This window comes from Homo sapiens, chromosome 4 (genome assembly GCF_000001405.40).
Source record: "Homo sapiens chromosome 4, GRCh38.p14 Primary Assembly".
Classification (NCBI taxonomy): Eukaryota; Metazoa; Chordata; class Mammalia; order Primates; family Hominidae; genus Homo; species Homo sapiens.
The window spans coordinates 109,067,135-109,091,053 of NC_000004.12; the positions used below are offsets into that span (position 1 = coordinate 109,067,135).

Below are 23,919 nucleotides of genomic sequence, written 5' to 3' on the forward strand. Positions count from 1 at the left end.
CTAACGGTCCCAAGAGGGAACTCTTTTGAGTTAGTTGTGCTTCGTGTCTTACACCTGCCACTGTCCTCTGGAAGCATAATAAGCTTTATAAGAGAACATCCTATGGATATAAAAATATCAACATTAAGAAAAAACCCTTTCATCTGACTCACTATAGAAATAATCTCAATAACTTATATTCTTCAAATACCCATACTTTTTGAATGTATATAATGGCTGAGACTCCATTGAGCACCGGGGTCCCCTACCCCAGCACTTTTAATCTAAACACAGTGAAACTCTTTGATGTCTAAGGAAAAAAAAAATTGAAAATATTTTTGTCTTCACTGCATTTAAAAATTACAGTCACAGAGTGTTTTTAAAAATATTTCCATTGGACAATATTTTGGTGCCAGACAGGAACCTAAATTTTGTTTCATCGTGTTGGGGAACATTTAGGATATCAGGAAGCACAGTGGAAAAATTTCTTTACAGAAGAATATATTCTCCATCTCCTGGTGAACAGTTTTTGTTTTCTTTTCCAGGGAGTAGTTTATGTACTAAGTTTAGGCCACACATGAAAGTAATATCTCCCTCAAGAGACTGCCTTTGGCTTATGCTGATTTTTTTGAGGCCAAGACTATGGTAATGATTTAAGGAGGAAAAGAAGCAAAATGGAACAGGAGGAAAAGATGGAAGAAAAGGGATTAGAGAAATGAACAGTTTTCCCAATAGAATTCAACACAGTTAAAGTATGTGTTGGGAAATCATGAGGGTCAGATCTCAGAACCAAAGTCAATGAGATAGTGACTTCATTGGGTAATCCATACTGGGTATCATGTGGCCTGATTCACCAAAGGAATGTCAAAGATGCAACAATAATCGAAAATCAAGTTCAGTTCTCATTACACAATAACCAGAAGTCTACTGGGGTGCGTGCCATTGCTTTCGGTGGCTCCTCCAAGGCCAGCTGTGCATATCTTCAGTAGCTTGGAAGCTGGCCAGTGCAGTAAGCACCATGCTGGACTTGGGAAACTAATCTCCTGTATTATTGCTTTTTCACAGGTGGGACATCTGCCCTTTTCTTTTATCAAAGTCTTCCTAATGACATATTAAAGGCTCCCCAAACTCAACACAACATTGGATTATTACAGTTGAATGAAAAGATAAAAGCAAAAAAGAAACATGAGTAATGAGTAAGCAGGATATTTAGTCTAAGGACCTGGTGCACATGCAACAGATTTACCATTTTTGACAGCCAGACTGAAAGGGAGGGAGAGAGGAAGGAAGGAAAGAGGAAAGGAAGGGAGGGAGGGAAGCAGGGAAGAGGAGGGAGGTAGGGAAAAGGAGAGAAGAGAGAGAGCAAAATCGGAGGGAAAGCAAACAAACTCAGGATTTTAAAAATTGTCAGTTTGTCAAAGGAAGTTTACTTCTAAATCTCCTATAATGAATCTGATAATCCTATATAGTAGTTTAAAACATAAAACCAGCAGCATGGCCAAATGAAAAGATAATATGTTCTGGTGCTTATAAGCCTGGATTATAATTCTATCACCACTAAATATGTGATTTTCTAAATGTGGCAACTGTGTGACTCTCAGTTTCCTCATGTATAAAATGGAAATACTAAATATGACCTCACGAAGTATTTACTTATTCAAAAATAATTAGAGACCTTACTATGGCCTGGCTCTGGGTTCGGTGGTACAGTTAAAACAGAGAAAAGATGCACAGAGCCTTTACAATGGAGCTTACATACAAACAGAGGAGACAGGAGACAAGGAAAACAAGAAATATGTCACATATTTACATACTGAGATTAGTCCTATGAAAGACATAGTCAGGTCCTATAAGAGGAAATAATTATGATGAAGAATGAGGTGAGATATGAATAGCACAGGCTATGACACATATTAAGCCCTCAAGAAATATGAATTTCTTCACTTTATAATTTAACCACTCTATAAAATTCAAATATTTTTAAAATATTTAATATTTAAATATTTTAAACTTTAAAAATTTTTTTTTGGCTGAGCAGAAAACTCTTGCAGACTTGCCAAAAAAAAGGCAATTTAAAATTAACAATACCTAATTAGTTTTCTTTTTTTTTTTTTAAGAGACAGGATCTCATTCTGTCACCCAAGCTGGAGTACAGTGGCATGATCATGGCTCACTGCAGCCTCGACCTCCCTGGCTCAATCAATTCTCTCACCTGAGCCTCCCCAGTAGTTGGGACAGCAGGCATGCACCACCACAGCCAGCTGATTTATTTTTATTTTTAGTAGACAAGGTGTCTTGCTATGCTGCCCAGGCTGGTCTCAAACTCGTGGCCTCAAGCAGTCCTCTCAAAGTGCTGGGTGAGAGCCACCATGTCCAGCCCCTAATGAGTTTTAAAGTACGTGGAATTTCACGTCAACTTTTAACTACTACTTCAATGTAGAACATCAGGGACCATGATCATTTAAGCCAGTCCCAGCAGTGTAAGTATGCTGAAGTCAAAAGCTGAATGGCAAACATTTGTGACTACATCTAAAAGGAAGGTGGAACAATAAAGAATTGGGACGTGCAGTGCAAGCCAAGACAAGAACACTTTCTGGGCTCTCTGTAAATGAAATCTTCATATCCCTCTATGGCGCTATTTTCTTTTCCTGGAGAAAATCATGAGAACTGGAATTGTCCAGGAAATGTGGAAGCTGCTGGCTTCTAAACATTTGAAAACTCACTTTCTTTATTCATATATGAAATAAGCATATGCTACTTACCTTAAATAGCTAAATATTAAAATATACAATTTTTGAAAATAAAAGCAAGATAACTATATAATAGGAAATTTCAAAAATTAAGAAGAGCAATAATTTTTTTTTTTTTTTTAAACCCTCTCACCTGTAATCCCAGCACTTTGGGAGGCCAAGGTGGGCAGATCACAAGGTCAGGAGATCGGAACCAGCCTGGCCAACAAGGTGAAACCCCGTCTCTACTAAAAATATAAAAAAAAACTAGCCGGGCATGGGGTGTATGCCTCTAGTCCCGGCTACTCGGGAGGCTGAGGCAGGAGAATGGCATGAACCCAAGAGTTGGAGGCTGCAGAGAGTCGAGATCATTCCAGCCTGGGAGACAGAGCGAGACTCTGTCTCAAAAAACAAAAAAAAAACCCTCTCACTTTGCTGACACAACTATTGTTTGGCACCAGTGTACTTTTATGAGCATGTATTTGATAAGTTTATTTCATGTGCATAACATTTTTTAATCTTTTTTTTTTTTACTTAATCCCACATCATAAGCCCTTTCCATGTTATGTCAATCTTCATATTCATGATCTTTAATCATATTTGGTTAAGTAGATGTTTCATTTTAGAATAATTACAAAATCCATGATCCTGATTTTACTGTTGAACATTTTGGTTGCCCACACATTTTGGCTACTATTTCTTTTTTTATTATACTTTAAGTTCTAGGGTACATGTGCACAACGTGCAGGTTTGTTACATATGTATACATGTGCCATGTTGGTGTGCTGCACCCATTAACTCGTCATTTACATTAGGTATAACTCCTAATGCTATCCCTCCCCCCTCCCCCCACCCCACAACAGGCCCGGTGTGTGATGTTCCCCTTCCTATGTCCAAGTGTTCTCATTGTTCAATTCCCAACTATGAGTGAGAACATGCGGTGTTTGGTTTTTTGTCCTTGCGATAGTTTGCTGAGAATTATGGTTTCCAGCTTCATCCACGTCCCAACAAAGGACACGAGCTCATCCTTTTTTATGGCTGCATAGTATTCCATGGTGTATATGTGCCACATTTTCTTAATCCAGCCTATCATTGATGGACATTTGGGTTGATTCCAAGTCTTTGAAAAAGAGCCCGCATTGCCAAGACAATCCTAAGCCAAAAGAATAAAGCTGGAGGCATCACGCTACCTGACTTCAAACTATACCACAAGGCTACAGTAACCAAAACAACATGGTACTGGTACCAAAACAGAGATATAGATCAATGGAACAGAACAGAGCCCTCAGAAATAATACCACACATCTACAACCATCTGATCTTTGACAAACCTGACAAAAACAAGAAATGGGGAAAGGATTCCCTATTTAATAAATGGTGCTGGGAAAACTGGCTAGCCATATGGAGAAAGCTGAAACTGGATCCCTTCCTTATACCTTATACAAAAATTAATTCAAGATGGATTAAAGACTTACATGTTAGACCTAAAACCATAAAAACCCTAGAAGAAAACCTAGGCAATACCATTCAGGACATAGGCATGGGCAAGGACTTCATGTCTAAAACACCAAAAGCAATGGCAACAAAAGCCAAAATTGACAAATGGGATCTAACTAAACTCAAGAGCTTCTGCACAGCAAAAGAAACCACCATCAGAGTGAACAGGCAACCTACAGAATGGGAGAAAATTTTTGCAGTCTACTCATCTGACAAAGGGCTTATATTCAGAATCTACAATGAACTCAAACAAATTTACAAGAAAAAAACAAACAACCCCATCAAAAAGTGGGCAAAGGTTATGAACAGACACTTCTCAAAAGAAGACATTTATGCAGCCAAAAGACACATGAAAAAATGCTCATCATCACTGGCCATCAGAGAAATGCAAATCAAAACCACAATGAGATACCATCTCACACCAGTTAGAATGGCGATCATTAAAAAGTCAGGAAACAACAGGTGCTGGTGAGGATGTGGAGAAATAGGAACACTTTTACACTGTTGGTGGGACTGTAAACTAGTTCAACCATCGTGGAAGACAGTGTGGCAATTCCTCAAGGATCTAGAACTAGAAATACCATTTGACCCAGCCATCCCATTACTGGGTATATACCCAAAGGATTATAAATCATGCTGCTATAAAGACACATGCACACATTTTGGCTACTATTAACATGAGGAACATTTTCGTGCAGATAGGGTTTTTGTTTTCTTTTTTCATAATAGGGATTGTTTCCTTGGGATGAAGTTTCAGAAATACAACTCCTGGGCTAAGAGGAGTCGAAAATCCATTTTGTGGAAATTGACATATACTGCCTAATTGCTTTCCAAAATATATATACTAATTCATAATGACTATTATGTATTGAAATATATAATACTTTGAGTCTCCATACCTATGTCACCACTGGATAATTTCATTAATTTTCAAATTTCTGTTAACAGATGAACGATGTTACCTTAATTTAACTCACGTTTTCTTCCTTCCTAATTAGGTTGAACATTTTTTATTTAATAGTTACATTTCCTCTTTCATAAGCTCAGTTTATGTATTTTGTATGGATGAGTTTTGAGAGAGTCAAACAATGAGAAATCTGTTATTTTGAAATTTGGTCTTGTGGTTACTATTATCATTGATGTTTTCTTTCTCATGTAAAATGTAACTCAGTCATATCACAGGGATCCCAGATTTTAGAACTCTGTTCTCCCTGTAATTATAGAATCAATATGGGTCCCCCAAATCTGGTGGCTAACAGTGATTTCACCACTTCTGTCCTTTCTAAGGTCTGTAACACAGACTCACCCACATTCTTAGCTTGCAGAACCTTCTGCAAGTTTTCTGTTTTCTTTCTGAAACCTTTTGAAGGCTCTGAGATGACAACACCATGACCACTATGCATCTCCACTCTCACCAAGATGTCTTATTACTCAATCATAAATTTCGCAATCAGCACTACAGCTGCCAAGCTATTCCTTGCCCAGATGTGTTAAATCAGTTGCATAACTCTACAGGGGGCCCACATAAAACTTTATACTGCTCCGCACCACCCCATTCCAACCTCCAACATGAGTTGCCCTGACTCTGCAGCACAGTGTGGGATTTAATGGCTTATTCCATTCCTCCACTGTGTTCTGGGCTGGTCCCTGAAATCAGGTTTTATCAGGTTGAGACTTTTCTCTGAGGACAGATTTACCATTATTCCTTCAGTTTCCAGATGGGATCACTATACTGTTATACACACAATCTGGCCTATTTCAGAACCTCTGATACTGATAATGTGTGTGTGCATGTGTATGTGTGTGTGGGGGAGGGGCGCATGTGCATGGGTGTTTGGTGGTTGTCAGGAGGGGAGGCATGGTGGAGGGAGAGAAACCAAGACCTTGGCCTCTTACCTCAGAATAAATGAGCACTTCAAACACCTTTCAAATCCTGAATGTAACTTTGGCTGCTAATCTTCCTTTAAAATCACTCTAGGATTTGGAAATACCTCTAGAAATAACCTCCATGATGGGCATCATGAGAATGTACAGATCCATTAGACCAGAGATTTCCAAAAGGACAAAACTCATGTTCATCCTTTGAGCTGGCTCCTCCACCTGGTGTGTATTTACTCAAAAATAATAACACAATCGCTGCAGATCTTCTTTAATAAGTGCCCCCTGGGATTTTGGCTTAATAATATAACATTTCAGATTGCTAGATATTTAAGGTTTATCTCTGAAGCACAACAAAATGTATCCTTTGGGATATTGTAGCTTCATCTGTTTGTGTGGTCTACTGATAATCAATGTTCCTCTACTCATTGTAGCAATAATTTACATACTTTGAGATGCTATCATATCTTTCCTGGCTGCTTTCCTTAGAGGCTGAAAACACTGCATTTAATATCTACTCATAGATCATATCTTCAGGTCTCTATTATTTTGCCAAATTCTACTAATTTCACTATTTCTGTCTACTAATTTTTTGGCATTTCACTAGTTGGATTCTACTAATTTCTCAATGTCATTTCCATGACACAAGGCCACAACTAAAAATAACAGTTTAATAAATAGAAAAACAAAAACAATGTCCTTTTGCCCAGACTCTAATCATTCAACCCACAAAAAGATGTAGATTATTTAGGCCAGTGGTCCCCAACCTTTTTGGCACCAGGGACCAGTTTCGTGGAAGACAATTTTTTGACAAGGGTGGGTGGCTGTGGTTTTCGGATCAAACTGTTCCACCTCAGATCATCAGGCATTAGATTCTCGTAAGGAGCATGCAACCTAGATCCCTCACATGTGCAGTTCCACAGTAGGATTCCCGCTCCTATAAGAATCTAATGCCACCACTGATGTGACAGGAGGTGGGGCTCAGGTAGTAATGTTCACTCACCCACTGATTGCCTTCTGCTGTGCAGCCCAGTTCCTAACAGGCCAAGGAGCAGGACTGGTCAGTGGCCCAAGGACTGGGGACCCTTGATTCAGGCAGACTCAATGTTTGTGTTGCTGTTTGGACTAGTTGAGAAATAAATCAAAATGGCACCAGAAAAAATAAACAATTCTAGTCCCCCCACCTGAGAGTATTATTGGCTTTCTTTGCTTTGAAGAAAGAATAAGCAACTACTCTTAAAAATTCCCATTGTCGTAGAAAATGAAATGTACAACATTCATTCATATGCCAAATTATATGAAATGTTAAACAGGGTTAGCTAATGTATATAATCCAAAGAGTTCTCCCAAGCTCCTTAAACAGTATGAAATTTATATAGGCAGTTGGATTCCTGATGATGTGACTTAGTTTAAGTAATGAAATTAACATACTATCCGAAGGGAGTTCTGTGTATTATTCTCATTAATTATGAGAATATGATTAAATGATTTACTCATTTATAATAGTGCCACCATTTAGGCATTCAATGGAATCATACAGCTAAGAAAATCATAGATGTTTCATTTAAGAAAACTAAGCTTGTTTTAGCAAATTTTTAGTTACTAGAGTGCCATTGATACCACTCAGACACCAGAAAAGCATAAAGTTTCTTAATAAGATTGTAAGAAGTATGCGCATGACTTAAGAATTGGTAACATAAACTCACACATTTGTACACAAAATAGGTCCCCCAAAACACAATGCTAAAGTTAGGTGAGCTCTGTATTGCATGTATCCCTAACAAAGAAGCAAAACAACAAAGAAAAGGTAATTTCACCAAAATAGGTTATTAAGTTTCTCAGTAACACAAGTCCTCTAAAAGCAGATAATATTCCCCAGATGACATCATCTCACAGTTTTATGATGAGAATATGACAGTTAAGTACCAATTCAAAATCCAGGAAACATCAGCATTTTCTGAGTTGCTAGAATCTATGGTGGAAGTTTTAACACCAGAACAGAATATCACTGTTAGTCTCATTATTTTGTTCTTTTAAATAATTTTCAAGTGATATGTAGGCACTTTCTTTCCTATTATAATAAAATAATTACTAAATTAGTTATCTAAATACATATACTTTAAAATTGGAAGTGTTTTATTAATAGAGCTAGATGTATATACAAACAGAGAAGAAATTTTAAGTTATTCTATATACTTGGAATTAAAGACAAGACATGACTAGAGTCACGTTTGAAGGGGGAAATGATCATAAGAATTGCTATTATGTGATATGAATAAAATAGAATGACAAAATAGATGAAATATCAAAGTATATTAAAACTTTATTTTTTAACCTATTAGATCTTCTCACAAAATTTTGGGAGAGTACACACTTTTAGATTATACTTTCTTTCTCAAAGACATCTATTAACATTGAAAAAATGTAGCCCCAAAGGAAAAAAGTTAACACAATATGTAATAAAAATATATTAAGAATTTTATGCCTTTCACTTCCTGTGTATATTTTACCCACCATATAGTCCACACAGACTTAGCCAAATTAACAATCTATACGATCTTATGTATGCACTTAAAAGCCCACATAAATACCAAAACATCGAGTGTTTCCTGAGAATTCTAACTGACAATGCATATTTCAAATGTTTAAGCATTAACAATAAATACAGTCAACCCTCAGTATCCATGCATTCTGTATCGCAGATTCAACCAACCACAGATAGAAAATATTTGGGAAAAAAATTGCATCTGTAGTGAACATGTGCAGACTTTTCTTTTTTATCATTATTCCCTAAACAGTATAGTATAACAATTATTTACATAGCACTTATGTTGTATTAGGTATTATAAGTAATCTAGAGATGATTTAATGTGTAAGGGAGAATATGCATAGCTTATATGCAAATATTACTCCATTTTGTATCAGAAACTTGAGCATCCATGGATTTTGGTATCCATGGGAGGTCCTGGAACCTGTTTCCCACTGACACCAAGGAACAACTATATATCTACACTCATCAGAATTCTGAAGGGTCATATGAATATGATTTTTTAGGTGTTTTAAACTATATCAGCAATATCTGCTTTGTGCTTCACAGTAAAATTAACTCTCTCTTTAAGAGGGAATTTGTTCTTTGTCCCACTTTCAACTTTTATTAACCCTAGTAGCTTATTAATGTATTAATCAATTTATCACTTATCGAGTGCTTTTTATGTGCTAACCCTGGTGTTCTGCTGATTCCTGAGACAACAATGAAGAACACTTTGCATGTGATTCCTAATAAGAATATCTGCTACACTAGTAAGTACAGTAGAGCAGTGGTCCCAACCTTTTTGGTACCAGAGACTGGTTTTGTAGAAGAGAATTTTTCCATGGACCCAGTGGCCAGGGGTGGTTTGGGGATGATTCAAAAACATTACATTTATTGTGCACTTTATTATATGGTGATAGATAACAAAATAATTATACAACTCGCCATAATGTAGAATCAGTGGGAGCCCTAAGCTTGTTTTCCTGCAACTAGATGGTCCCATCTGGGGGTGATGGGAAACAGTGACAGATCATCAGGCATTAGATTCTCATAAGGAACGCACAACCTAGATCCCTCACATGCACAGTTCACAATAGGATTCATGCTCCTATGAGAATCTAATGCCATTGCTGATTTGACAGGAGGTGGCGCTCAGGCAGTAATGCAAGCAATGGAGAGTGGCTACAAATACAGATTAGGCTTCACTGGCTTGCCTGCCTGCTGCTCACCTCCTTTGCTGTGAGGCCCAGTTTCTAAGAGGCCATGGACCGATACCCGAACTTTGAAGGGACTGGGGACCTCTGCAGTAAAGGGTCCTGCAATGATTGCTCTTGCTGTGTTTAAAGCAAATCATCAGAAAAGCTAATTGGCACAACACCAAACAATAAGTAAAGGGTTTGATAAGTGACCACCATGGGCTAAATGAAAATGGAAAACCAAAGCAGGACGCATTAAAGTCATACAAAGGAAAATTTTTAAAAACAATAAACTTTTAGAATGGAAACAGTAGAAAATGAGAGATTGTGGAATCCATATCTATACAGCAATACTTAAGCACAAGACCAAGCACTGCTCTAGGGAACATGGGATAAACTATCAGCTTGTGGAATTTCTTTCAGATCTCTATTTCCATAATGCTAATAAAAACAAAACTAGCCTTCCATCTATTGCCTCTTCCCACCACCACCCCCCCGCCCCCAACACTCCTGCTAAGGAACAAAAGCGGCAACATTATTTTAAACATTACTTTCTTCAGCTAACACTGACAGTCACTATTCTGTCTAGCAGGTACTAGGCCTAAAGGCAGACTAAAAATTTTAAATAGCTATGAGTGTGTATTAGAAGCCCAATGAACACCAGCTTCAAACATTTTAGCCCCAGAGCAATGGGCAGCCATGGATACATGATGTCAACCGTCTGAAGGGTAAGAATGAAACTATTTTAAAATGGAAACAGACAGAAAGGCAAACACCCTCAAGCATTTTCAAGCTATGTCATAATAGATGGTGTTGAAAGCTGTACTAAGATCAAGTGCCGAAGGATAAGACTGCAGGAGAAAGTAAAATTTCTCCACAATGTGAGGAGGTCATTTATAACTCTGACAAGGGTCATCTCCCTACTCGCTGCTTTTTGGGTGACAGAAATGTTCACATTCAGAGTAGTTTGAAATATAGGTATTCAATTCTTTGGCCATCACCCATAAAGGATAATTTTGGGGATGGAGAGAGGATAGAAGTGGTCTGTTCGTAGTAGTAGGGGTGTTTTCTTATCTTTTCTCGGCTGCTCTTACAATGTCACCCATTATCCGGGTCTGTCCAGATAGCCTCTTGACTTGTTTGTCTTTTAAGAAGATTTTTGCAGTGCCTGGGTTTCTCTATTAAACTCTAATTTTCTGCTAATTTTCCTATAACTTCCTAAACTCAAAACAACACTGGAATAACATCACCCATAACTCATTTCCTAGAATGTGTTGAAGGTTTTTGTTTTGCTTTGCTTTTTAAATAAGAGTCAGGGATCTTGGTTCTATTTAAAAGTAGCCTCCGATACTTATGATGCTCCCTCTGAGTATTTACCACAGTGTAATTAAGTTAACCATGTGAATTTCAGCAGTACTTTATATAATTTTTGAGGTTATCTATCATAAATCGCCAGATACTCTCAAGTCTGCATTTTTCTTTAAACTAAATAAAATAAATGACATATAGCATTTGCATCACCAAAACTGTCATGCAGGCTTTTCTCAAAAAATAAAAGTTTAGAAAAGCATGTTTAAACAATATTTACCATAAAGCTGCTTTTCACAGCTCTTTCTGGCATCAGATTAAGAATACACATTTATTAAAATGGAATATAGAAAAAAAGACACTATTTACACAAAAGCCCATCCAAATGTTTAAATAGGTCTTATAATATGCAGGAAAGTTATTTCTAGGTGAAATGTTAAAATCCATAGGGGAAAAACTAGATGAATTGCAAGGCAGAAATCTAGCATGGACTGTGTTGTGACAGAAGTAGCAACACTGTGAAGTGCCTGCAAATCCGCAGCCTGGGCAGACTTCCTACTTGCCCTTGTAATCCTGAACACCTTCCTGGTATGATTAGCAGCTACAGCACACTGGCTTCCAAAGATGCATTTCTGAATGTGAGTTCTGGGGAAAGAGTAGCCTAGAGAGCCTTTGAATCCTGATATTTGTTTCTGCTTACTACATGGAATGCCAAGTGCAAAAGGCAAGGAAAAAAAATCCATGTTTTCACTGGCAAGCCTACAGAGTCTTGTGGTCAGAAGAATCTTACAATTTCTGCTGATGCTTCTGGAAACAGATTGATGATCTAGGTTACTGTGCTTTTTCAGAAGGGGAGTGAAAGAATGGTGTTAAATAAGACAGATCATTCTGAAATACAGTTTCATAATAATCCCAAGATTCAGACTGAACTAAAGTAAAGCTTCACCAATCTTTTAGGTGAATTTTTTTTCTCCCCAAGATTTCCATTTGTTTTCAGTGTCCAGACAGATTTCCAGCTGGACAGCTGAATGCTCTCATTGTTCTATTGAAGAATATTCTACACTATTTACCATTAATCAATCCAGTTTAACTGTGTAGCATAGTGTTTAGTATTAACTGAAAATTTTTTATAGCCATTTGAGCAATCCTTCTGAATTGAGTCATACATTCGTTTATTCAACAACAAAAAATGTTGTCATTTTATGGGCTAGGTACTGTGCTAAGTCCTGAGATGAAAAGCTGAAAAATAACACATCGCCCTTATCCAGGTGAGGATTTCAGTATGTACACAGAGATATACAAACACCTATAATAAGAGCTAGAATAAATTCAAGCTCAGATAGCTAAAAAGTGCACACAATAAAAGGAGCTAATTCTGGCTTATAGGAGGCAGCAGCTGAGAAAATTGAATCTCTTCACTGCAAAACTTAAGAAAAAAAAATCTATCCATTTAGAGTAGTTTTCCAGCATTCTGGAGCTGATAAGCACATTTTTGTGTCACAGGCTTCCAGTCTTCCTGAAAAGTCTTATTTATTTACATTTCTAAGAGTTCAAGCGAGTTAAAACTGGTGCTGTTTTGAGAAATTCATCATATCTACTGAAATAATTAGAGACTACAGGGGCAATATGGAATAGCAACCATTGATACGTAATTTAAACTCAGATTACAAAAGTAATGGAAACAGGAAGTGAGTCAATGGCTTTCTTTCCAGTCAGTATAGAGGTGTTTATACTAATATCAGTTGAGTGCTTTACTCAAGGAATTGGGCTGTGCCAACTTCTGTTTGCAAACTGTCATCACCAAATTGAGCTGTCGTTATCATTACCCCCACCACACACCACCATTAACAACACGTAGCATAAGCCATGTGCCAGGTACTGTGCTATTATAGATATTAATCACTCTTGTAATCCTTACCTCAATTTATATGATAGGTACTCCTGTTATTCCCATTTTATAGATAAGAAAACTGAGGCATAGTGAAGTTAAATAATTTCTTAACTAATTATTAAGTAGTAGAGTTAGGAAGTCTGGCTCTAGAGTCTTTGGTCTTAACCGTTATACTAAACTGTTTCTCCATGGATTTTAAAAATATAATAATAATAAATACAGTAATACAATATTTACCTAAGAAGGTTAATCCTAATAGAAAAAAATATTAAATTACATAAGAAGCAAGGGATAAATCACCTGTAGGACTCCGTAAGTCTGTGATACCCTTACCCAAAGTGTTCTACTGTAAAAATTGACAAGTTCTTTTCCAACAACTCCTCTATTTTTCTCACCTAAATAACCCAACATATAGGATTAATTTTAAAATACATAATTCACTAATTACCTTAAGAACAATGATGAGCAGTGATATTTTTTATGTAATTATCAAAAGATGTTGAACCCGGGGTTCTAATGAGTATTACATGGGAGCCCTCTGTTTTTTATGTTATTTAGATATATCAGACTTAAACGGCTTCCTATTTATTACTATTCTTTCACAATTGTACATAATTAGATTTTGCCACCTAAATTTTATGAAAATTTTCTAGATATATTCCTTCCTTTCCACCCTCAGTGAAACTGTTCTATTTTCAGCTATCTCCCACTTCAGTTGTTGCAATCAACTCTCTTAAATTACTGAGCTCATATGATACGCCAAGCATTGTGCTAGATGCATAATATACTTATCTAATTTGATCCTCATAAAAGTTCTGGGAAGAGTAGTAGTATCCACATTGAACAGGTAACAAAAAGTTTCAGAGAATAAATAACCTGCGCAAGGTCACATTGCTGGCGAGTAGGGTCACTGGGAGAATTCAGAAGCATTTCATGCATGGTCAATATTTCCCCCAAGATACCATCATAATTTACTGTGCATCTCCTCTGCCTCACACGTATGAATTGATTAATGTATGTTTTATGCTTGACCGGAACAATGTACAAGGTCTTTCCAATCTAATATACCATCATGGCTCAGCTTTCAATACTCTATCACCCACTACAGTTTTTTACCTCATATCAAAAAAAGTGCTCTAGATCATCTATTCAGAAAAAAGGGCAAGGGATATACAAAAATTATAGAAAATATCTTTAGATTAGATAGAATATTAATTCCAGTTGCTTTCATTTTTTACAGTTGAAATATTTAATAAACATTAGTAATGAACCCAAACTGATCTAACTAAACTATACTATTTTTTCGGAAACTGATATTTTGGTGTGTTTTTTGGTAACAGCTTTATTTCTATGTAATTCACATACCATACAGTTTATCCATTTAGAGTGTACAACTGAATGATAATTAGTATATTCATAGATATGTGCAACCATCACCACAGTAAATTTTAGAACACTTTTATCTCCTCAAAAAGAAAACCCATACCCTTTAGCTATCAACCCCTAAACCCATCTCCACCCCCAACCCAGCCATGGGCAATCACTAATCTATTTTGTTTTTTCTTTTATTTTTTTTTTTGAGACAGAGTCTCATTCTGTCGGCCAGGCTGGAATGCAGTGGCACAGTCTTGGCTCACTGCAAACTCCATCTCCCGGGCTCAAGCAGTTCTCCTGCCTCAGCCTTCTGAGCAGCTGGGATTACAGGCATGTGCCACCACGCCCGGCTAATTTTTGTATTTTTAGTAGAGATGGGGTTTCACTATGTTAGCCAGGCTGGTCTCGAACTCCTGACCTTAGGTAATCCGCCCGCCTCAGCATCCCAAAAGTGCTGGGATTACAGGTGTGAGCCACCGCGCGTAGCCCACTAATCTCTTTTCTATCTCTACAGATTTGTCTTTTCTGTACATTTCATATAAATAGAATCATATACTATGTGGTCTTTTATGACTAGCATAACGTTTCAAGATTCATCCATGTTGTAGCCTGTATCAGTACTACATTCAATTTCATAGCTGAGTACTATTCCATTGTATGCAAATACAAATTTTCTTCATCCATTCATCAGCTGATGGACATCTGAGCTGTTTATACTGGTTAGCTGTTAAAAATAATCCTGCTATGAACATTTCTGTACAAGTTTTTGCATAGACATATGTTTTCATTTCTCTTAGGTATAGACTAAAGTGGAATTACTGGTCATTTGGTAAACTTGATCTTTAATTATTTGAGAGGCTGCCAGACTGTTTTCCAAAGAGGCTGTACCATTTACAGTCCCATCAGCATGTATGAGGGTTCCATATCCTCACCAACATTTGTTACGATCTGGCTTTTTTATTACAGCCGTCCTCATGCATGTGAGGTAGTATTTCATTGGGGTTTTCATGTGCATTTTCCTGATTACTAATGAAACTGAGCATCTTTTTAAATGCTTATTGGCCATTTGTTTATCTTCTGTAGAGAAATGTCTATTCAGATCTTTTGACCATTTTAAAATTGGTTTGTCTTTTTATTTCTGAGTTGTAAGAGTTCTTTTTATATTCTAGATACGCATGCCTTGCGGGATATATGATTTGCAAATATCTTCCCCTATTCTGTGGGTTGCCTTTTCACCTTTTTTTCTTTTTTAAAAAACTTTTATTTTAGGTTCGTGGTTACATTTGCAGGTTTGTTATATAGGTAAACTACTGGCATGGGGGTTTGTTGTACAGATTATTTCATCACCCAGGTACTAAGCCTAATACCCAATAGTTAATAGAAACTGATATTTTGAACAAAATAATGCTCCTTTTTCCTAAAAAGAATCTCATTAAATATTATTAGATGAGAAATATAATATGATGAGAGAAGGATATTTATGAAAACTGTAGCATATAAAGTAAGTTTGATACAGCCATTTCTAAAATAAAACTTTGTAAAGGGCACAAGCAGCTTTAAAAATCTGATATTGTAATGAAAATTTAATAGGACTTCCAAACAAAGAAGCATTCATCTATTTCAGGACCTTCTGAGAAACAAATCTAAGTATTTGCCTAAGTCTGGTTTAAAAATGTCTGATATTTTTAACTCCATAATAGTGATCAATGTGATTTACTGATGTAAATTAGTTTGTTTAGTTGTTGTTTCTAAATATCAAAAAATGATATTGTGAAAGGCTAAAAAAGGAAAGCCTAAAAAATGAAAAAAATTTCTAAAGGGAAGCATAACAATTTTATTACTCCATACATTCCAGACTGCTTTATTTCTTCTTTAACTGCTATTTAGTATGACCAAAATACATAAACACCAATAACTTTTACACTAAATAAATTTTTTTTTTTTTTTTTTTTTTTTTTTTTTTTGAGACGGAGTCTCGCTCTGTCGCCCAGGCTGGAGTGCAGTGGCGCGATCTCGACTCACTGCAAGCTCCGCCTCCCGGGTTCACGCCATTCTCCTGCCTCAGCCTCCCGAGTAGCTGGGACTGCAGGCACCCGCTACCACGCCCGGCTAATTTTTTGTATTTTTAGTAGAGACGGGGTTTCACTATGTTAGCCAGGCTGGTCTCGAACTCCTGACCTTAGGTAATCCGCCCGCCTCAGCATCCCAAAAGTGCTGGGATTACAGGCGTGAGCCACCGCGTCCGGCCTAAATAAAATATTTTATACATACAAAACTACAGAGAGTAGGCAGGTTTCTGTAATAATCTTCCACAAAGAAAGATATAAAGTAAGAGAACAAAAAAGGAATAGCTTTTATCTCCCTAGTTTTTCATGTCAGTTTGCCTTTCATATTTTCACCTCTCTCTATCCTGCATTTTTATCTATCATAAAATAGAAAAACAACTTAAATTAAAAGAAAAAGACTACATGTAGCATTTTGTTTTGTTTTAAGAAAAAGGAATAATCCACTACACAAGACTCATTTTGTGTCACAAACTCTACAAAGCTTTTTCCTGAGGACCTTGTCCTGAAGCAGAACTTAGAGCTTCCTCATTTTAAGTCCCCTTCCAATCATGCACATCTGTCTTAGAGAATAAAACAGATGACTGTATTAATTTGTCCCATCTGTTCTGACTGTGGGACTGGAAGTTCCTTGAGGGCAAAGGACACATATTGCCTTGGATTTCTCGGTAGACCGTACAGAATTTGAAAGGGACTTCCCTAACTAACGTGTTGAAAGACAAAAATGAATAAATTATAGGTATGCCTTGCCTTAATTAAGGCCGCAGTATTAATACTATTCTCACAGTGTTGAAGTTTAAAAACTAAAACTGTAATGAAGGAAGCTGCTTATAAGTTAGCTCTCAAAATGAAAAAAATCAGCAACATAAAGTAGAAAGAACACACTTTTCACTGCAAATTCACAAAATAGGATCATTGCTGGTAACCCAGATGACTGAAGCACGTTTATTTTCACATCACATACTTAATCTCTCTAACACTACAGGGGAGCCTAAGCTACTTTTTATATTACATTGAATTCCCTGAGAATTTATTCTTGTATGTTATTATACAAGCAATGCTATAGCAAGAACCACACATCAGGTTTTTATGCCCTATGTTTAAGCCCATATTCCATTGTATTCTGTGGGCCCAGCATGATTCATTTAGAATGCAAAATCAATCTCTCATTTTGTATAAATCAGTAGTTTTCACATCTGAGAGCTACCTGGTTAGTTTTCAGGTTGTGGCATTTCATTTTATGTTGTTTTCTGCAATATACTGTCTAGTACTCCTTTGTTTTTGTTTTTTCAAATGGCAACCTAAGTTACATTTTAATAAATGCCTTATTCTTTCTTGCATTTTAATTTTTATCCCTACAATTCCAACAGAGCCCTCTCAAAAGTCACCAATAACTTTTCAAATTCAATAACCTTTCTCTTTTTTCAGTCTCCATGTCCAGATGTCATAGCAGAATTTGGGACTTCTCCTCCTTTTGGTTTCTGTGACACCAAATGATCCTGGTTCTCATGCACTCTGTGACATTGGTGTGCCTGTTCTCCAAGGTTTTGTGCCACTGTCTTCTCTATCTACTCTCTCATCCATTGCAGCTGGGGCTCCATCACCATTACCGGACTGAGTCCTGCATCTAAAGAGTCCGCTGAGCCCCATACAAGAGGCCAGCCTGCATTTCTAATTGTCTTCTATGTGAACAGAACCTTCAGACTCTGCAAATTCAACATTTTGAAACAGAATGCACGTTCCCTTCAGATGAAGTACAGCATATTCCTTGTCTCTCAGGTTCTGATTTCATTTAAAAGTTTACTCCCTTTCTCTCTTGTCTATTCTGCGATATATCTTGCACTCATTCTTCCTTCTGATTCCACTTACTCCGTCTCAATTTAGGTCAATTTCATTCACCTGGACAACTATAAAGTTCTAAGTGAACTAGTTTCTAGTCTTTCCCCTCTCCAATGCATTAAACATACTGCTCTTATGTTAAGTAAGCTTCCTTAAGGACATATCTGGTTATTTATTTCCATTGCACAAAAAGCCATCAAGGGATAGAATGCAAAAACTTTTGTCTAGCATTCAGTGTTCCCTGCAATATCTACCATATCTACCACCTTTCCAACCTATTTCCTTCTCCTCCCTTTGGGGATTTGGCATCTCAGCACAACTGACATACTAAATCTTTGTGCATACTCCAAGTGAAGATGTTATCTTTACACTGCTAGCACCAAGAATACTGCCTAGCCCATAAAAGTGCTCAATAAATATTTGTTAAAAGAATAAATGATAGCCTATACGAATCTTTTACCCTGAAAATAACATCCAGTATATTTTATAAGGATGAGGTAGAAGTTACTATAAAGTTTACTAAATCCAAAGAGTACAACCAGCCAAAGGAGGAATGGGAGTGGAGGCTACTAAGGAAGCCCCAGGAGGACACTTCCCCTGAAAGATTATTAGCTCTGTTGGAAAGCACATGACTTTTAAGACATAAAGTAAGAGGGCAAATAGCAACTTGCCAAAGAAGCTCCCAGTACTACACATTTTTTTAGAAGAAATTCAGTTCCTGCTGTTCTTTATTTACTTAAAAATGAGTGTCACCTATCAGAGTCATTTGTCAAGGGCTGAACAGTTGCAGCATAACAAATTTGAACCTTTCACTATGAATAATGCACAATTAACACACTGGCCAAAGGATGCTGAGTGTTTAGCTCAAAAACATTCTGGTACCAACAAAGAAAAGGAATCTTACTTGGTAAATTAAAACATATGTTGCATGTTTTACTCTCAACATCCATAAATTGAAGGAAGAGATGCCAATTTGTCTAGTAATGATGATGAAGTTGGAAGAACAGTGGGGAAAATCCTCCCCTAAAGGATTATTTTCCAGATAATTTATCATCTTCTATTTTTGCTTTGAGATATGTTTTGTGACGAGATCTTTATAGTCGGATTTGAACCATATGACATTTAAAATATTCAAAAATAAATAGAAAAGCTCTGTAGTCTATTCTCTAATCAGCCTTCCTGATTCTGTCATTATAATAAGTAAGTAGGACTCTTAATGCATCTAAATAAGCAATCAGTGTTATGCCCTGTTTTATGCTTGACTGCTGGGAATTGCTCTTTGACTATTAATAACTATCCATCACCCACGCCTGGCTATTCAATTAAAACTCTGGCTAAGTCTTCTTGGAAGAGTCTGTTTCTACTCAGAGGGGCCTAGGAAAGCTGTTCTGCAATGCAGCGGGCTCCCCTTACACACCTTTACAGGAGTTAGTTGAATATCACATGCTAGTGCCCACAGCATTATCAAAATACCGCAAATAAGTTCATTGATAGGACTGCTGACATGGAGTGCTGTCTCTTTCCAAAGTGGCCCAGTGGAAGTTGAGGGAGACAAGAAAAGGGTCAACAGACAGTGAACAATGGGACACTTGCTGTCACCTAGTCTGTGTGGGATCCCTCCTACTCAGAATGCAAGTATGAGTACAAAGGGATGAATACGGACCTGCCTATCAACCACCCAGTGTGTGGGCAAAATGACAAAATGTTCCAAGAAGATAGGAGAGAAGCAACATTCAAGTAATCCAAGAGCCATGGCTGGACCCCAGCCCTCAACAATGTGACTGTTAGCATCCATGCTGTGGCATTACTGTTTCTTTTAGCGTGAAAAAAAAAAAATCAAAACCAAAAAACTCTCTTTGAGGGAAGCAGCACGTACAAGAAACCTTAAGATTGCATGAAACTTTTTGACTGAACAAAGCAATAAAGGGGTCTGCACCTAAAACACAGAAATTTAACTGCACCACCCACCCCGCCTGCGCCACACCTAGATGACAGCAGACATGGAAATGCCACGGCCTAACTCATGCCTTGAAATCCAGATGCCTTCTCTGAAGTGATCCATGGACCACTCTTGCCTGAAAATAGAAGTGCCCTTTCTAAACTTACATGCACACATCAAGAAATATATTGATGACCCTTGCTTCATATCCAGTGGTCCTCTACTCTATTGAACCACACTTCAGGTTTATTAGAAACATTTAATATACTACTGACTGATCTGTTTACTATACACTGTGAAAGTCATATTACTTTTACTTTGCTTCCTTTATTTTAATAAGCTCTGTTATTAAATATAGACATTCAAATACTTACATTAGGAAATATATTCTTCAAAAATTTATTGCTTTTTGCATACAAAATCTCACCTGTATTTTTCCTTGAATAATTAGAATTCCCATAATAGTTAGAAATTGGGTCAAATAGCTGCAGTGGACTGAGATATACACTGTTCTGTGATTATTATTTAAACCTCATTCTATATACTATTCATATCATTATATTTTAGAAACAACACACAACTTGACTGGCATCCAAAAAGTTAATACAGGAGTTATTTAATACTCTGAAGCTTCTGTGGTAATGAATGGACTCTAAGTTTCCTTTTTTATTGAAAATAAATTTTTAAATATATATATTTTATATATATATTAAAACCTGAAATAAGACTTCAAAATTAATCAACACACATAGAAAGGCATATTTTATGCTGCTCTTATTGACAGATGCTTTTTAAGTTTTAATTTTATCCATCTTGTCTAGCACTTGAGAAAGTTGATACAGTTTAGAGGCTGTGTTGAGTGTCAAAAACATCTTTAATTTCCTCAGCTTTATGAGTCTGAATCTGTGAAAAATTAGAGTAATTATGTCTCCACAGTGAGGAGCAGGTATGGGGCATGGTTTAAGGTTCCGATGCCACCTGTGGCAAAACTGAACTGAGGCTAAATCAGTGGTTCTGAGATCTTTTGTTTTGTTTTCAAATAAGTAATTTTATTTTTAATTGTAAATTGACAATTTAGAATTGTATAAATTTATGGGGTGACATTATAATTTATGAGTAATACTGTACTAAAATGGTTGATGTGTCTGCCTCCACCATGAATCTATAAATGTCTAGAAACAGGAACTTATCCCATTCAACTTGCACCCATGAAGCTTAACACAGTGCCTATGAAGCAGACATTCAAAACTGATGAATGAATGAATGATAACGATCAATTAGCAATATTTGTTAAGAACCGGGTAACGTTCCAGGCACTGAATTTATAGTAGTAAGTGAGACAGTTTCTCTGCTTTCAGGGGATTTACATTCGAATAGAAGACATACTCTTCTCTGCGGGGCCACATGTAACCATTGAAGTTGGCAACATGAGGTTACTGGTGATTTGGACAAGAGAATGAATGATGGGGATAGAACCCAACTGAGTAGGAGAATAAAGACAGTGATTATAGAGAACTCTTTCAAGCAGTTTCCTCTGGGAGAATTCCAGTTTTAATACTGTGGTACCCTCTTCTCTTAGAAATCAACCACGTACAGCAAAGAGAAAGAAGCAGAAAGATAAATGGCATCTTTGCCTGACTTGTTCACTCTTTACTAAAAAACTTTTCAGAGATAAATGAAAAAGGGGCTTCACCTGCCCATGACCAGCACCTGAAGAGGAGGGCTGGACAAGCACAGTGGGACATTTGGAAAGAGTAGTTCAAGGAAATATTAAACAAAAGAAGACATGAAGTAGAAAAGCCATCACATTGTGGGAAAAAATGACACAGAACAATCAAAATAGAGACATAACCTCATAACCTTACAGAGAAAGGACCATTTAATCATCCTGGCAAAATGATCAGGTTATTTCCAATGAAATTACATTAATCCATTTTGGGCAGGTCAGTTCAATCTCTCATCTTTCATTCCTTTACTAGAATGCCCACCTCATAGGACATGAAGAAGGCATATAGCAGCTCCTGTATTTAATAAATAATAGCTTCTCTTCTGCTAGGTGGAGAATTAAAAAGTGCTTGACAGTAATTTCTTATATAAAACCTGTACTCATTTTATTTACTCTGCTTTTTCCATAACACAAAGGTCAACATCATTTCAGTTCCTGTTTGAATGATTACAAATTATGAGATCAGATCTACTTGAGGCATATAGGACAGTTACATCTATTATTTCACTTGAGTATATTTTTTAAAAATATTTTTTTTTTGAGACAAGATCTTGCTCTGTCACCCTGGCTGGAGTACAATGGCATGATCTCGGCTCACTGAAACCTCTGCCTCCTGAACTCAAGTGATTCTCCCAGTTAAGCCTCCCAAATAGCTGGGACTATAGGTATGCAACAACATGCCTGGCTAATTTTTATATTTGTAGTTGAGATGGGGTTTTGCCATGCTGCCCAGATTTGTCTCGAACTCTGCATTCAAGCAATCTGCCTGACTCGGCTTCCAAAAGTGCTGGGATTACAGGTGTGAGCCACCACGCCCAGCTATATTTTAGAAGTATAATTGCTACATAGGACTTTTTTTTTTTCAAAAATTCAATTAAAGTGACATAAATATGAAGTACTATAAATTCTGCATGAAGTTTGAGTTTACCAAATTCAGTATATATAAATGTAAAACATTTCTAGTTAAGAATATAGTGCATATATAATATAAACATGTAAAATGTAATAGAAATGTAATACATGTAATAGAAACATGTAAGATGTTTCTATTTCAGAATAAAGTTATTTCTTAAACAAAATTACTTTTTCTCTAGACAGAATTTAAGTTTAAAGTAGTACATTTGACCTATAAAAACCACACGGAACTGATAGTTTTACATAATTCCTACTTTAGCAAACCTTTGCTAATTTATTCATGAATGTTTAATCTGAATTTTTGTCCCTTATGATTTCCTTGTTAGTAGGTTTTCTTTATTTTTCTTCTACCTTTTGCCTTCACATAAAAATTTTTTCACTTTGGTAAATGACTTTTCATCTTAATTAAACATAGAGGAGAGTATCTGTCATCAGTCATTCTATTGCATTTATCAAAAAGTCAAGAGGCTGTTAGGAAACTATGAAAGTGCTTTCAGAATTTAAAATTAAAATATACAGTTTTAGAACTTACAGCAACTAGAACTAAACATACTGCTTGCAAGTGCTGAAATGTAGTTATGTTATGTCTAAATGTCTTATTAAAGACAATATACTTGTAAATGAGTGCTATTTTTTAAAAAAGCAAAAACCTTCTTTACTACTTAGTTTCACCCACTTCCTTCTTGGTCAGAATGCCAACTGGAATATTATCAGTTTAAAATTCCATTTGAAAGTTTATTTTCTGAATTAACATCATTGAGAACTATAGTGAGCAGCATGATGTGATGTAACTACTTGGGAAACAGTCTTTTGGACTCAGCATTAGTGATTGACATCTTCGAGGGATGAGTGTGTATCATCAAAGTCAAATCAAAGTTGCTAACATTTATAGCCTGGGTTGAACAAAGGGAACATTTTCAAATGAAATGTTCTAAGGGAAGACCTTTCCTCAGGACAGCTTATATATTTATATACAGGAATAGACATTAAATGTCCTGGTTTCCTTCTTTTCTCCCCAACTGTGAAGGGCAAAACACAAATTTGGCAACATCTCC

General features: G+C 36.5%; 1 protein-coding gene across 10 annotated transcripts in view, besides 1 other annotated feature; it reads right to left on the reverse strand.

Annotated features, from left to right (window-relative positions):
* COL25A1 (collagen type XXV alpha 1 chain) overlaps nt 1-23,919 on the reverse strand; it is a 493,934-nt gene that overhangs the window by 258,410 nt on the left and 211,605 nt on the right. The window lies entirely within an intron of this gene.
* Nucleotides 11,759-12,053: a silencer, noted in NCBI's record as "tiled region #6815; HepG2 Repressive non-DNase unmatched - State 24:Quies". NCBI's record gives its function as "represses a minimal TATA promoter and a strong SV40 promoter by Sharpr-MPRA in HepG2 cells {active_cell/tissue: HepG2}" and the evidence as "EXISTENCE:reporter gene assay evidence [ECO:0000049][PMID:27701403]".